The 14,884-nt window shown below is 43.3% G+C and overlaps 1 protein-coding gene across 9 annotated transcripts in view; it reads right to left on the bottom strand.

Annotated features, from left to right (window-relative positions):
- The window catches only part of NDUFA10 (NADH:ubiquinone oxidoreductase subunit A10), a 132,901-nt gene that overhangs the window by 108,017 nt on the left and 10,000 nt on the right, over positions 1–14,884 (bottom strand). For 5 of the 9 annotated variants that reach the window (NM_001322020.2, NM_004544.4, NM_001410987.1 and 2 more), the window contains exons 5-8: positions 14,281–14,402; positions 11,159–11,238; positions 6,858–6,912; positions 4,752–4,837 (exon numbers count right to left, since the gene is read on the bottom strand). In NM_001322020.2, coding sequence (NP_001308949.1) covers positions 4,752–4,837; positions 6,858–6,912; positions 11,159–11,238; positions 14,281–14,402 — 343 coding nt within the window. Of the gene's footprint in view, positions 1–4,751; positions 4,838–6,857; positions 6,913–11,158; positions 14,403–14,884 lie in introns of all 9 variants that reach the window. The other 4 variants (NR_136158.2, NR_136157.2, NR_136156.2 and 1 more) reach the window with 1 other exon arrangement.

Raw genomic sequence — 14,884 nt, forward strand, 5'->3', positions numbered from 1 at the left:
ATAAGGATATAAAGAAAGAAAAAAATTTAAGTTTATAAAGAAAGTTATAGTAAGCTAAGGTTAATCTCTTACTGAAGAAAAAAACTTTTTATATAAATTTAGTGTAGCCTAATTGTACATTGTTTACAAAGTCTACCACAGTGTACGGTGATGTCCTAGACCTTCACATTCACCCACCACTCACTCACTGACTCACCCAGAACAACTGCCAGTCCCGTCAGCTCCACTCACGGTACATGCCCCAGACGGGTGGACCATTTTCACCTTTTATACCATATTATTTTTTATGTTTAGATACACAAATACTTACCGTCGTGTTACAACTGCCAACAGTATTCAGTACTGTACCATGCTGTACAGGTTTATGGCCTAGGAGCAACAGGCTCCACCACACCACCTAGGTGTGCAGGTTATAGCATCTACGCTTGTGTAAACACACACTATGATGTTTTCACGATGATGAAATCGCCTAACGACACCTTTCTTAGAACATATCCCTGTCGTTAAGCAACACAGAACTACATACACAAAGCAGTGCTAAGCCCTGTGGTGCTCAATCCTGCAAGGGTGGTGAGCACATCACTCGGAAGGTCAGCTCTCCCACCAAGGGGCAGGGCACACTGGGAATCTGGCTTACAACAATCAACTGCACTGGGGCATGCACAGAAAAAAATATGAATAGCATCTTCAACACGGTTGTCTTTAGGAGGTGGGTTCGTTCAACTTCACTGTAGATTTCCATAAAGCGTGAATTGAGGATAATTAATGTAAATTATTTCTAAGATCAGAAAAATACTACTTAAAAAGTAAAAGAAAAAAAGCTTAGTATTAAAGAACAAAAATATTAATGGAGAAATGTAAACACATCATGCATCTACAATCAGAGTATAATAATATACCATAAACAGTATCATAACATAGTCCCTAAAACTTTAGTACTTATGATATATACACATGGTTCTGAGCCTTTCAAATTATTCCCACATTTAATCCCCACAACAGTCCTATGAGGTAGCTTCTATTTTCTTCCTGCTTTACAACAAGGAGACAGAGGCTCAGAGAGGTTAGGCCCCTTGCCCAGGGGCACAGTGACAGGTGAGTGGCTGAGTCCCTCTCAAGGGATCCTTCTGACCTGGTTATGAAATGGTGAGTCTCTGGTATTACAACAATCATTTTCTTCTCAGAAATATACTTTTATTTTCTCCTCTTGGTCTCCATCACCTACGCATCCCTGTCCTAAAGTTAAAATTACTCGGAATAAACCAATGTTTGATGGCCCTTGCCACAGTTCACAGCAAAGCACACACTGACTTTGCAACAAAAATGGCTGCACAGGGAATAATCAGCTGACTTCAATGACTCAGAGAAACTTCTACATTCAGACACCTCAGAGGACCCCTCTAATTTCTGGTCGGTCGCCCTGTCAATCAGCAAACTCACGGCCCTCAGGTTGAAATGTGTTGTCCACCTGGAGTAGGCACTGTAACCCTTGGCCATTGTCTCCAGGATGCAGAATATTTATTCAGAGGCCAAAAGCAGTGCTTTGTGCTTTACTTCCATCTCCTAGTAATGGCTCAGAAAGACAAGGAAGGCCGGCGCAGTGGCTCCCGCCTGTAATCCCAGCACTTCTGGAGGCCGAGGCAGGTGGATCACCTGAGGTCAGGAGTTCAAGACCAGTCTGCCCAACATGGCGAAACCCTGTCTCTACTAAAAATACAAAAAATTAGCCGGGTATAGTGGTGCATGCCTATAATCCCATCTACTCAGGAGGCTGAGGCAGGAGAATCGCCTGAACCAGGAGGCAGAGGTTGCAGTGAGCTGAGATTGCGCCACTGCACTCCAGTCTGGGCAACAAGAGCAAAACTCTGACTCAAAAAAAAAAAAAAAAAAAAAAAAAAGACAAGGAAAGCGGGTTTTGTTGTTTGTTTTACTTTCTAATGGAAGATTTGCTAGATTCCTTTCAAAAGACTTTCTAGAGAGCCAATCATTTCAGTAAGCTACTTTTAGATTAACACCATTTTATACAGTAGTCAGTATATGGAATATAATATATGAAATTTATATTTGTTTTTTCCTTCAATACACATGGCCTAGCACTCTACCTCACTGCCATAATCTTACATATGGAGGCACAGGCAGATAAAGTGACTTGTCCCAAGTCACACAGCCAGCTAAGGGCTGACCTGACCCTTCCCGTCTCCTCAGTCTGACATGAGGACCCCACAGTGTGCCTACCTTGCTCACCCTTCAGTATCCATTCCACTAACTAGAAAACTGATTTTGCAAATACTATTTTAACAGGGGGGCAGGAATTAACAAACTAAGTAGAATGACTAGTTTTTTTTAATGTAAACCTATTTTTTGCTTATTAATGCTGTACTAAAAACATCAAACAGAAGTGAACTTCTTTTGAGAGACAGAGTCTCTGTCGCCCAAGCTGGAGTACCGTGGCGTGAACACAGCTCATTGCAGCCTCAACCTCCCAGGTTCAAGTGACCCTCCCACCTTAACCTCCCAAGTAGCTGAAACTATAGGCATGCACCACCATACCCAGATAATTTTTAAATTTTTTGTAGAGATGGGGTCTCACTATATTGCCCAGGCTGGTCTCGAACTCCGGGGCTCCAGCAATCCTCCCACTTGAGCTTCCCAACGTGCTGGGTTTACAGACGTGAACGCTGCCTGGCCAGAAGTAAACTTATTACACATTCTGTTTACATTTTGATCAGTGAACTTTTAGTGACATGTGCAGTGAGCCAGCTGTCCCTCTGGTCATCCTAGGAGACTACTGTATCACTCACATCCCATCAGGCAGAGAAAGAAGGTAAGCACCAACGGCCTAAGAACACCAACATCACAGGGCCAAGAACAGAGCTGCCATCTGTAGGCACCAACTTCCTAATTTACATCCAAACGTTGAGGAGAGGGAAGTTGAGTGCCCCGGCCATCCTTGTGCCTCCAGGCCCTCGAGAGGCAAAGTGTTGGTGCAGTCTGCACAGAGCATCCTGGGTAGAGGCAGGAAGCAGCACAGGGCAGGCTCAGGCCAAGGGCTCGAGACTTAACACAAAAGGCAGATCCCCAAATAGCTACTCATGTTTCCTGCATTTTCACAAGTCAAAGACCCTCAAATTACTCCAATCTTGATTTATAAATAATCAGAATTATGATACAACAGCACTTCTCATTACAAAATCATCTCTGAATTTTGTAGAATTTATAGCCCTAAAAGAAATCAAAGTCACTCACTCCAGATACATCTCCTGAGTGCACGCTGGATATGAGGCCTGTACCAGGAACTGGGCGTTGCAGTGATGAGAAGCAGCAGGGGGTGGGTGGTGGAGGACAGACCCAAGCAGGATGAGATTCCCGGGTGGCCAGCACCAGCCAGGACAGAAGAGGCAGAGCTGGGGATCACCGGTGGGAAGGTCAATGCACAGAGACACTGCAAGAGGCAGCCGAGGGATATTTGCTGGGTGTGCAGGGTAAAGGTCTGGGCCAAGACCTACGGTGGTATCCACGCTATCCACAGCTGTGTGACTAGGTACGTCCTCAAGAAACTGAATTCAACGGACGAGACACTGCCCGGGGTCACTGTGCCTGCCAGAGCCCAGCAGCAGGCAGAAGGAACCAGAAAAAGAGAGCCCGGCCCCAGAAGGCAGCAGCTGGTGGAGGAGTGAGAGAGTGGGGGAGGAGGAGGGCATGGAACCAGGAGAAGGGAGTGGAGAAGAGGGGCAGCGGTGCTGCTTCCAGGGCCAGGGAGCAGCATGAAGACAGACAAGGGTCTGCCGCATCTGGAATGGCGAGGCCGTCTCCTTGGCAGGAGCAGTTTCAATAGAGTGGTGCAGATGAAGACAGCTTTTTTCAACCTTACCTAATCGGTATGGTTTTTGTTTTTCATTTAATAGATACCAAAGAATCCACACAATAGCTGAATGGATATAAGTCATATCGTATTACTCCTCTGCTTCAAACCCCCAAACGGCATCTCATCTCATCAGAAGAAAACCCACCAAACGCACCAAGACCTATCCGCCTTCTGCTGTGGCCTCCCCTCCTAGTCCTACCCCCTTCTGCAGTGGCCTCCCTTCCTAGTCCTGCCCTCTTCCACCGCGGCCTCCCCTCCTAGTCCTGCCCCATTCCGCCATGGCCTCCTCTCCTAGTCCTGCTCCATTCCGCTGTGGCCTCCCCTCCCCACACTTTTTCTGGCCACACTGGCTTGGCTGCTGGGCGCACCTTCCCACCACACTCCTGCCTGAAGAGCCTCTGCACCTGCCAAGCCCCTGCCCTCTGCTCACCCCACGGCCCACAGGACCCAATCCTGGCCTCACTTAGGCCTCATCCCGAGAGAGGCCCTTTGTCACCCCTAGCTACTCACCACCCTGTTACTCAGGGTTACTTCTCTCCCTGGCCTTTGTGACCTGACGCAGTTTTATCTATTTGTTTACTCTGTCTCACCTACTAAAACACATTTTCAAAGACATCAAGAATTTTATCTGACACTATATCTCTTAAATCTGGAACGGTGTTGCACATAGTGGAAGCAAAATGCCTGTTAAATTAATAATGGCACTCAATAAATTAAGTATCAGACCAGGGGATTCAGGAGCTGTTTGGAAGAAAAAATACCTCTAAGTATTGGGTTGGTGCTGCTAACACCTAACTTGAAACATAATTATTTCAAACTTCCCTAAGTTTCCCCATCATGCAAGTAGACCCCAGACATGCAGCAGCCCCCACACAGATGCACTTACAGTAATCGCAGGTGGTATAAAGTGCGATTGTCCTGCTTGAGCCACGGCCCTTTATCGAACTTCAGGTATTCAATGTCCTCTACCACCTAAGACAGGAAAAATTCCAATTTAAACAGAGAACCCCATTTTAGAAATTTAAATGAAATAACTTTTTTTTGAGACAGGGTCCGGCTCTATCATCCAGGCTGGAAAGTAGTGGCACAATCACAGCACACTGCAGCCTTGGCCTGCTGGGCTCAAGCAATCCTCCCACCTCAGCACCTCAGCCTCCCGAGTTGCTGGGACTACAGGCATATGCCACCACACCTGGCTGATGTTTGTATTTTTAGTAGAGATGGGGTCTCACCACGTTGCCCAGGCTGGTCTCAAACTCCTGGGCTCAAGCGATCCTCCTGCCTCAGCCTCCCAAAGTGCTGGGATTATAGACGTGAGCCACCATGGCTGGCCAAGAGGTAACATTTTAATACATTATAAGCTATGAATATTTGGCAGGAAGAATCACACCGTAACAGTCAGAATGGAAGTGAAGCTGGCTGACCTTTAATGAAATGGTGGGGTTGAGTGTTGCATCACAGTATGGCCTTGCCTAGCTAACACTCAGGGATCAAGTAGGACAGACATTACCCTGCAGGCTGGGAGAAAAGGACAGGTGAGAACAATGAAGACTAGGGGAGAAAAATCAGCCTTCAGGACAGGCTACTCATTTCTTCCCAAGTAAGTTCCTTCTAAAAGGCAAAACCTAGCCCCTCAAAATGACAAAAGAATAAGATACAAACCCATTACCTAGAGAGACCTAATGATCTAGGTGCCCGGCCTCAAGGCTGGCTGTCTACACAGTCTGACTTTCCAGAGGAGTAATCTTTCCATACGCATTCTCTCCTCACAACAGGCCAAACTCATGAACCCTCTTTAGTTTCGGGAATTTGAGTAAATTCAAAAATGAACTCAAATAACATAGTATTGGAGACAAAACGTATTATTCTTCTTCTAAGATACATGCCACCTAAACAGTCTCTCAAAGGTATATAAATACTCTAAAAACAGAAACAGAAGGCGGAGGAGAAAATGAAATGTAATTTAATCAGTCTGAGTAGAATAAACCAAGGTCTCAAAAGAACTTTACAACTGGTAGTAGGAGAGCCTGGGCGAGAATGCAGGGCTTCCCTCTGCAAGGAGAATGCTACTCTCTGTGCAGAAAAGCTCAGTCAACCTCCCTCTTCTCACCCTCCCAATGCTGAGAGGCAACTGAAGCACGCTTGTCACCCCAGCAGCCAACTATGCAAAGCTTCTCTGTTACACGGGCACCACTCACACTTCAAGACCAGATCCTGAAACTTGTATTTTCTTCTAGAATTGTTACACCTCGTTTTGTTTTTAGTAATTTATGCTTAATATATAAAATACAAAATAAAAAACTTGTTTTTTAACAAATGGATGCTCAGTTGCCTCAGTACCATTTAGGAAACAATTTTCCTCTACTTCATTTTTGTAATTATCCTTTAAGGAACTAACTTTGCCAAACTGAAGATACTTACACACAGGTGCATACATGTTTCTGGACTCTTGTTTTGTTCCATTAAGCTCTTTATTAATTCTTGCATTAACACCACAATGCTCTCCTTACTACAATCGTATAGTTTGTTTTTGTATGTGAGAGGGCAAATGTTCTTTCGTTATTCTTCTTCAGATGTTTTAATGTTTGTCTGGCTGTTATTCATAAAGTTCCCTGAAAACTACACCAAGATTTACTAGACTTTCACAAAACACACGAATTTAAGGAAAACTGTTATCTTTACATGTAAATCTTTCCCATTAACTAATCCAACTTTCAATTTTCCATCTCTTTAATAAAAATGGTAGAGTGGATGACCCAAGATTCTGTGACATCTGTAATTTTCAGATCGTAGAAACCGAATTACTTGAAAGAAACTCGAAACCTCATGGCCAGGGGAGTGTGATGATGGGTTTGACTGGCACTGCTTTCAGGTGATAAAACAGTGATGTTTGTTAAGACCAGTGGGAATCTAACTGACGATCTGATTTGCAAGAACCTTACACATGAATCAAATGTAGGAATAACTTTCAACTTTTCAACCATTTTCTTACCTTTTTTGAATCTTGAGCTTCCCTTGCAGAATATTGTAAAACCTCACATTTTTCACTGTAAGAAAAAACAAGATGAAATTCAGTGTAAACTTTTCCAAGCTGAAGTTAAATGTACAAATGAATACATACCGCTAAAGTCTCCTGCTCAAATTTAAAACCTCACATTCTCTGCACTGGGCATTGTGCTGGGCATGTGAGGGTGCATTAGAGCTTGACTGGTTCAGGAGGACATGTTAAAAGCCAGAATGTTCTCATGGCTGGCTTGACAGTGACAACAGCAGGACCATTTCCTCGTTTCCCTTCTCCTGACTACACTGCCCCCAAGCCAAGGGCGTGACAGACCACAGCCATCACTGTCCACAGGAGCAAGGTACATGAGCCATGTCAGCAGCTGCACATACCATCGCCAAAGGCAGTGCCCGCTGCACGGAAGGACAACGAAGCCCAGGGCCTAACCGAGCACAGGCAGAAGGCATCTTTACACCAGAGCACCCTCCACAGCCCAGGGCCTAACCGAGCACAGGCAGAGGGCATCTTTACACCACAGCACCCTCCACAGCAGGGCCTAAATGAGCACAGGCACAGAGGGCATCTTTACACCAGAGCACCCTCCACACATTTAGGATGTAAACATACAGGGTAAGTAAATACTCCAAGAATGTACAAGCTATTTATTCTCATACTGAAATCAGCATCTGACCCCTACAATGGTACCAAACAAACTTCACCAACTCTGCTGACCATCTTCAACAGACCACTGGTTGATTAAATTACGTAGTACAGGTAAAGTGCTTGTATTTTATTAAGTCTCATCATTACTGACTCACATCACTTCCAAAGTGTAGGAAAAAGAAAAAAGTCTTCAAGCTCTACAATCACTCAGTAACACATCTGTTCCACACAAGTCTATAACTCACAATTCAGAGTCATACAACTGGATAACAGATTCTTACTGCAACGAGATCACTGCACTCCTCACAGCACCCTTAAGATCAACATAAATGGTCAGAAACTGCAAGCAGAATGAACAATAAATCCATAGTGAGGAAAGTAACTTACTGCATTTGCCATTAGGGCTGGCAAGGAAAAGGCCACACTAATTACAGGACTTGCTGTATTGCTTCCTGAACCTCTACAGCTACCCATTGTTAATACGAAGAGAAAGGCACAAAGTGACAAAGGAGAATAATTCCCTCTGCAAGTCACCTAAGTGAATATTCAACTGAAGTGTATAGGAGACAGAGGTCTTAAACATCCCTGATGAACAGGGCTGGCACAGAAACATTATTTGTTCTCACACAGCAATATGAAAGGTCACAAACTATTTGACATATTTGCACAAGAGTGGTCATGAGAGATCAGGACGATGTGACAGTTTCGTTCAACACACATAACTGAACAGACATTAGCTGAAGCCCCACCAGGAGCCAGGTGCTGTGTGGGGTATGGAAGGTGGGGAAGACAGGGCTCCTGCCCTTAATGAGCTCCAGACCCCAAACTACCTGATGAGAGCAACCTGGAGAGTCCATTTTCTATCTTCTGTGCGCCTCCATTCAGCATGCTAACAACCTCGGCAACAGACAAATAAAACCGCCTCCGTCCAGTCACACCTGCCTCTCATTCCCACTGCCTTGTGAAAGGAGGCCTAAAATAAGAAGGTATCAAGTGTGGAGTCAGGGATCTGGAGGAAACCCCCATAAAGGGCTGGGCCAGCAGTTCACGTGCAACCTCAATGGTGGTTATTCCTATAGGTAGCTCAGGGCCGAGGAGAGCCACAAGCTGTATTACTGAACCCCCAAGTTATTTCAATACTTCCAGAGCCTCCCCAGCTCCTCACCCACCTTAGAACAATCTGAAACAATAAAGACAGTTACAAAACTCGCTACATGTCAGGCTGGTCACTCAGTGCTCCTCTTCTTGTCTCTGAAATCTCAGAGGTGACGATTCTTTCTCAGAAAGGCCTTCCCTACTCTGTCTTGTGTACCTCTGTGTCTCAGCTAACACTGACACTGGGAGCTAGCAGTGTTGGAGCTGAGTAAATAAGTATATGTTGAACGCGGGAATGGCCAAATGTTGGTGAAACTAAGTTGATACTCATTAACACATTCACAATTAAGGTAATGAGGAGAAAGACATGTACGCCTAAGATCTGGGTCATAAATATTGACAAAGCCAGAAAATACACATTCCTATGAGAGTTAGCTCATTGTACCTCTTAAAATCCCACAATACAAATATTTTGGAAAAGGCTGCAATGCTCTTTATGCATTCATAAGCAACAAATACAAAAACAGTGAAGCATCACCATGTATCAGCACGTGACAGAGAGAAGGGCTAACACAGGAGGAACTGCTCAAAGACAGGAGACACAGAACTTCAACGGAGCCATCATCTTGTCAGGTCAATCTGCTTTATTTCAAATACTAGTATTAAAACTAAAAACATTTCTCTTATTTAGTTTTGATTTTACTGTTTATTAATTATCTATGATCTAACAATATTGTCTTCTAAGGTCTAACCTAAGATCTAACAATAAAAATATTCAGTATTTAACTAAACAATGGTTTAAATATACAAGCCCGGGAAACCTAATATTGTTTCTGTTGGAAAATAACTCCTGAATTCTAAAATGCTAATGGCCAATAAATTTTAAAATACAACTCGTCATAGGTTTCTTGCAATTTTACAAAAAATAGTTTCAGCCAAATTTCATAGTGAATTTCTATGAGAAAACTTTTAAGATCCAAGTCCATCACAAAGCTGCAGTTTGATCTTGGTCTACAATTCAGCACTTAAAATAATGCATACTGCATAGAGTACATCTGGTACTCATTCTTCAATGTGTGACAAATGACCCCTACATCAAGTGGCTCCCATCAATCCATACGGCTTGAGCTGTCAGATAAGATCTACTTTAACAATGAACAGAGACTGTATCTGTTCCTAAAACAGGAGTTAAAAACACAGCAAGACCAAGTGGTAAGAAATAAATGCTTGAGGCTTAACGAGTCTATGAGGGCGGCAAAGTAAAAGAAACTCTTGCCCTGTGCACAGGCTGAAACCAGCCATTATTTTGCTGATGTTGTAGCTAGAAACTCCATTTGAGAAATTATGACAAAGCTCTTTCTCAGTGATGTTTTTGAAGCCAGAAGATCTCCAAGAGTAATTTTTGAGCCTGAAACTCTAGGGTCAACTATCTCTGTTTATGCTGTTTATTCACGTTGGCTCTAGATACTTCCCTTGGTATTGTGGCCTTGGAAATAGGGCAGTACAACAGGTTAAAAGGAAGCCAGAGGCCACCCAGTCTTCTTACCACCTAAGAAAGAAACGCTCACCACAAACAAGCAGAGATGACATAAACGTTAATACTTACGGTACAGAAAAAACTCCCTGAATAGAACATTTCTCTTATTCACTTTTGATTTTATTATTACCTATGGTCTAACAATATTATCTTCTAAGGCTGTTCATTGTAAATATTCAGTATTTAACTAAAATAAATGTAAAAATAAAACTTTTTTTCTAAAATTGCTATACTTTTGTTTTTATTCACAACTTCAGTTACTTTGAAATTTTAAACAACAAGAACATGAGATTTTTAGGCACCGAAAGAGGCTTAGGGTTTTAAAAAGTATGAGAAATAGTATAAAAATCTTCAATTCAAGCATTATTCAAACAATCTGAGTTTAACTGGACGTGAATGAGTGTGGCAGACATTCCTTACACACGAATATACCCAAGGAGCGCAGAATGACAAGCCATAGGATGAGTGAAACCACATTTTCCATGTGCTTTCAACAAAGAAAGAAAGGGGGAAAAGAAAGAAAAACAGTCTGGTGGTGTTTCCTTCATCTAATCCAAACATCTCTCAAGGACATCAATTAAGAATGTCTAGAGAAAGTGTTATCTTTCATGAATTTTCTCCATGAATACACTTCCAATCAATCCTTCTAGGTAAACACGAATGTTTAGTTGCCACCTGAAGTAAAAATACACAAGTTCTCTATGGTAAAACCTGTCATGGAATAGAGCTTGGTTTACTTCTAGCATCAAAAAACTTCAGAAATATAGCAGAGCAAAAGTACTGACAAGATAAGCAAACCAAAACAAATAAACCAATAAACCCCACAAAAATCAAACTGAAATGTCTCCTGTTTTTCTTATTTATAAACATCAGATTAAACATCTCAGACAATATCCACTGCAGTAAATAAGACAGAAAACTCCCTGGGCTGTTGGGGCCTAAGAAACGAGTGGCGAAGAAGTTTTAGCCCTGTAAATCAGTCGTGTGTTTGGCTCACCTCATCTCAGGGAGAAAGGTTTTCTTATAGGCATTCTCAATGTCCTGTAGATAGGCAGAGGTGATCTTCATTTCATGTGGCTAAACAGAAGCAGAAAAATCAAACTGGGAAACATTTAGAGTTCATTCTCTTTGACCTGTGCGTATATAAAATGCGAAGACAATCACTGACCACCATTTTCTTACAACTCACACCGGGCACTGTGGGGACTGCGGGGTGACAGCAAAGGGTCCCAACATCAGCTAGAGTCATTCTCCTTCTACTACAGTGAACACCTGAGCCTGCCCAAGTGCTCCCATAGCGTGACTTTCTCCACACATTCTAAGATGTATACTTAGGGCAAGAAAGATGCCTGTTACGAAGCAGCACTGCCTGTCTTTCCTGTCTGCCTCGTGCCTGAGTGCAGGAATGAAAGAGCACCAAAAATTGGGGGCAGCGGCCTGTCTGTCCGCCATCTGTCCTCAGCACACTCTCTTCTTGTCACCTGACTCTCCCTGCATCTCTCCAACTTGCTCGCCACCTCCATCGCTCACCCATCTCCCCGCAACCACTTCTCCCACTTTCTACGGCTGTCACCTCTCTCATCATCTGAAATGCACTATGCGAATTTCAGAAACTTGAATATCTAATTATGAGTAGCAAGTTTTAAAATTTAAAACTCCTTACAGTCTCACACTATCTTCTCAGCCCGTTTTGTTTTCTTCACATCATTTACCTCTATTTGATGTATTTATTTATCTCCTTGCTTGCTGTAGGTCTCCCCCATCAGCATATGAGCTCACGGGTGAGGACCTCATCCACCCTGCTCACTGGTATGTCCCTAGCACCAAGCAGGGTCTAGGACAGGGTGGATGCTCAATCAACACTTACAGGAGAGAGAGGAAGGAAGAAAGAAATGAATAGGCCTGCGGTTTCAACCTACAAAATGATGAAAACATTCTAAAACTGGATTATGGCAAGAGTGGCAACAACTTGGTAAATTTACCCAAAATCATTCAGTCGTACCCTTAAAATGGGTGAATTTTATGGAGCATAAATTATACCTCATTAAAGCTGTTCAAAATAAGAAAAACCCTATCATTCAAAGAATATTTACTGAACATGTATTAATTCCAGTAATGCGACGGGGCACAGGGAAAGGATGATACAGGCAATGCTGCACTTCATTGCTCTGTCAAAAGGGGGAAAGGCAGTAATTGGGAGTTCTATTTTCCAATAAGGACTTGGTGTCTGGGCAGAGACCATCTTTGTTCATCTTTGCAGCCTCCTAGGTGCCTGGCACAGGCGCCTTGCATATAGGAGGTGCTCTGTATTAGAGGAGTGAGTGAAATCAACAAAAGTATAAAAGAGGTGATATGATTCTAAATCTCTATCATTAGCTATGTGCCAAGTAGAATAAGATTAAATGTTAACTGATTATAAAAGAAACTCTAGTGTAATATAAGCCCATAACATGCAACATAACACAACCATCTCAGAAATCTGACCTGAAGTTACTTGATAAAATATGTAGTTATTGATCACTTTGACTGTTTTCTTAGAATCTAGAAATGGTTTTCGGATATTCCTATCAGTTATTCCCAAAAGGTGCAATACTGAGACACAGACTGCATTGAAATAAAAATCAAAATAAGAACACAGACTTACTGATAATGTGATGTCTTTTATAAAATGGGGTAATTTTACCTGATGACAGTATTGAAGACTTTACTTGGAAAAATTAAGAAGTTGACAGCTCTACTTTAGACCTCAGAATTATTTTTGAAATACTGTTTTCCCAGATAACAAAAGAATTATCTAGAGAATGTTAAATGTATGACTTTGTTTTTCTCAATAAATGTCAGCATAATAAGCAAAGGTGTCCAGTTAGTCCACTGAGAAACAAACATTTTGAACTTGCAGTTCCCTCCTTTTGCCACTTGATGGAAGGTTCTTAGAAGTCTAGCTATACAACATACTTACAAGCATATGCTTAAACAATAAAAGTTCCAGAGTGGCAATAGAAAGGCATACATAGACATCTCGCTGTTTCTACTATTGCAACAGAGAAGGAAAGTTAGTCCCATGGATCTTTCAGGAGCAGCAAAAAATAACCAGAGCTTTACTGTTGCCCTGACAAGAACCCACCATCCAGAGAGGTATTTCCTGAGCACCTACAAGAATTCCGGCACTGAGGATGGGCATCAGAGTGAGGAACAGGCAGGTAGCCCTGCATTTTCATCACAGTATCAAAAAGGAGACCATATTCTCCTCCAGGAAAAAATAACATAGTATTAAACAAGCAGTGAAACCCCGTCTCTACTAAAAATACAAAAAAATTAGCCGGGCATGGTGGCGTGCGCCTGTAGTCCCAGCTACTTGGGAGGCTGAGGCAGGAGAATGGCGTGAACCCGGGAGGCGGAGCTTGCAGTGAGCCGAGATCGTGCCACTGCACTCCAGCCTGGGTGACAGAGCGAGACTCTGTCTCAAAAAAAAAAAACAAAGAACTCGCCACAGGGCAAAGACGGTCTTTGTTTCATCTCAGGATCCTCCATCAAGCCGCCAACAGAGCTACCAACGGCCACAGGGTCACTTCAAAAGGCGTTGCTTCGAGGCCACCTAATTAAGATCCAATGAAAACTACAAAGAGTAAATGGATGTGTGTGGATATCACTGCTCTACTGTTCTAGAATTGGTAAGTAAGAAAAAGGGGGAGAGGCACGATTTGCGTTAAATAGATTGAAGTGATGAGGGATATTAGAAATTGCTTCCAATGTGGAAGAAAACGATAGGACACAAAAACCTCATCAGAGAACAGAAAGGTACGTGACAGAGGGATGGAGGACGCTCTGCCAGGAGGCCCTCACCAGCCTCCCAAGTTTAAACAGCTGAGGGGACTCGGGGACCACAGTGGGACCGCAGAGCACTGGTGGGCGGCAGGCCCGCAGGCTGTGGCACCAGGCCGAGCCATGGGGTCTCCCCTCCACCCCTGCAGATGCCCTCTCTCAAGTGGGAACAGGGTGTGTGTCACCCTCCTCGTGAGGACTGGTAGGAATTAGTATAAATGCTATTAAAACAGGGCTTTTAGTGCTGATCTACATTCAAAATAGAGATGCTTGGCCTTTGATTGAAAACTGCATTACATCTCCTTTCTTCTGAATCCGCCTCTGGACCTCTGGAACGGGCACATCGATGTAAATCACCAGGTGGGGGGGCAGGTAATCGCAGATGGTGACGCTCTTCACCTCGTTGTAGTGGTCCACACCTGGCACATAGGAGAAAGGGGCGCTGTCACCTACCAGTCCCCACACGGGTTTCCAAAACACACTCCTCCTTGAATAAAAGGGCAAACATACACGCAATTCTCAAAGCCACGTACCAATCTACAAACCCTATCTCGGTCACAGTTCTAAGCACTGACCACACACATGGCATGTGACTGTGCTCCAGGTGCCACGGGGCATGTGCAGACAGCAGCTGTGGTGCCCACAACCCTGAAAACAGGGCTTGTCGCCTCCACTGTATTTACAAACCAAAGGTCTGAGGCCCAGAGAAATTAAGCTACTTACACAGAGTAAAACAGCAGCATTTAAACTGTGACCTTAATCATCCTAAAAGACAGATCTTTAGCACATCTTAGCCACATTTAAGGGTTCACTTTTGCTCCTGAGGCAAGACGTAGGTCACGCAAGATGGAGGTCACAGTTCAGTGATCTTTGAACTGAAATATATTCCATATACTTGCAG

The sequence above is a fragment of the Homo sapiens genome, chromosome 2 (genome assembly GCF_000001405.40).
Source record: "Homo sapiens chromosome 2, GRCh38.p14 Primary Assembly".
Taxonomy (NCBI): Eukaryota; Metazoa; Chordata; class Mammalia; order Primates; family Hominidae; genus Homo; species Homo sapiens.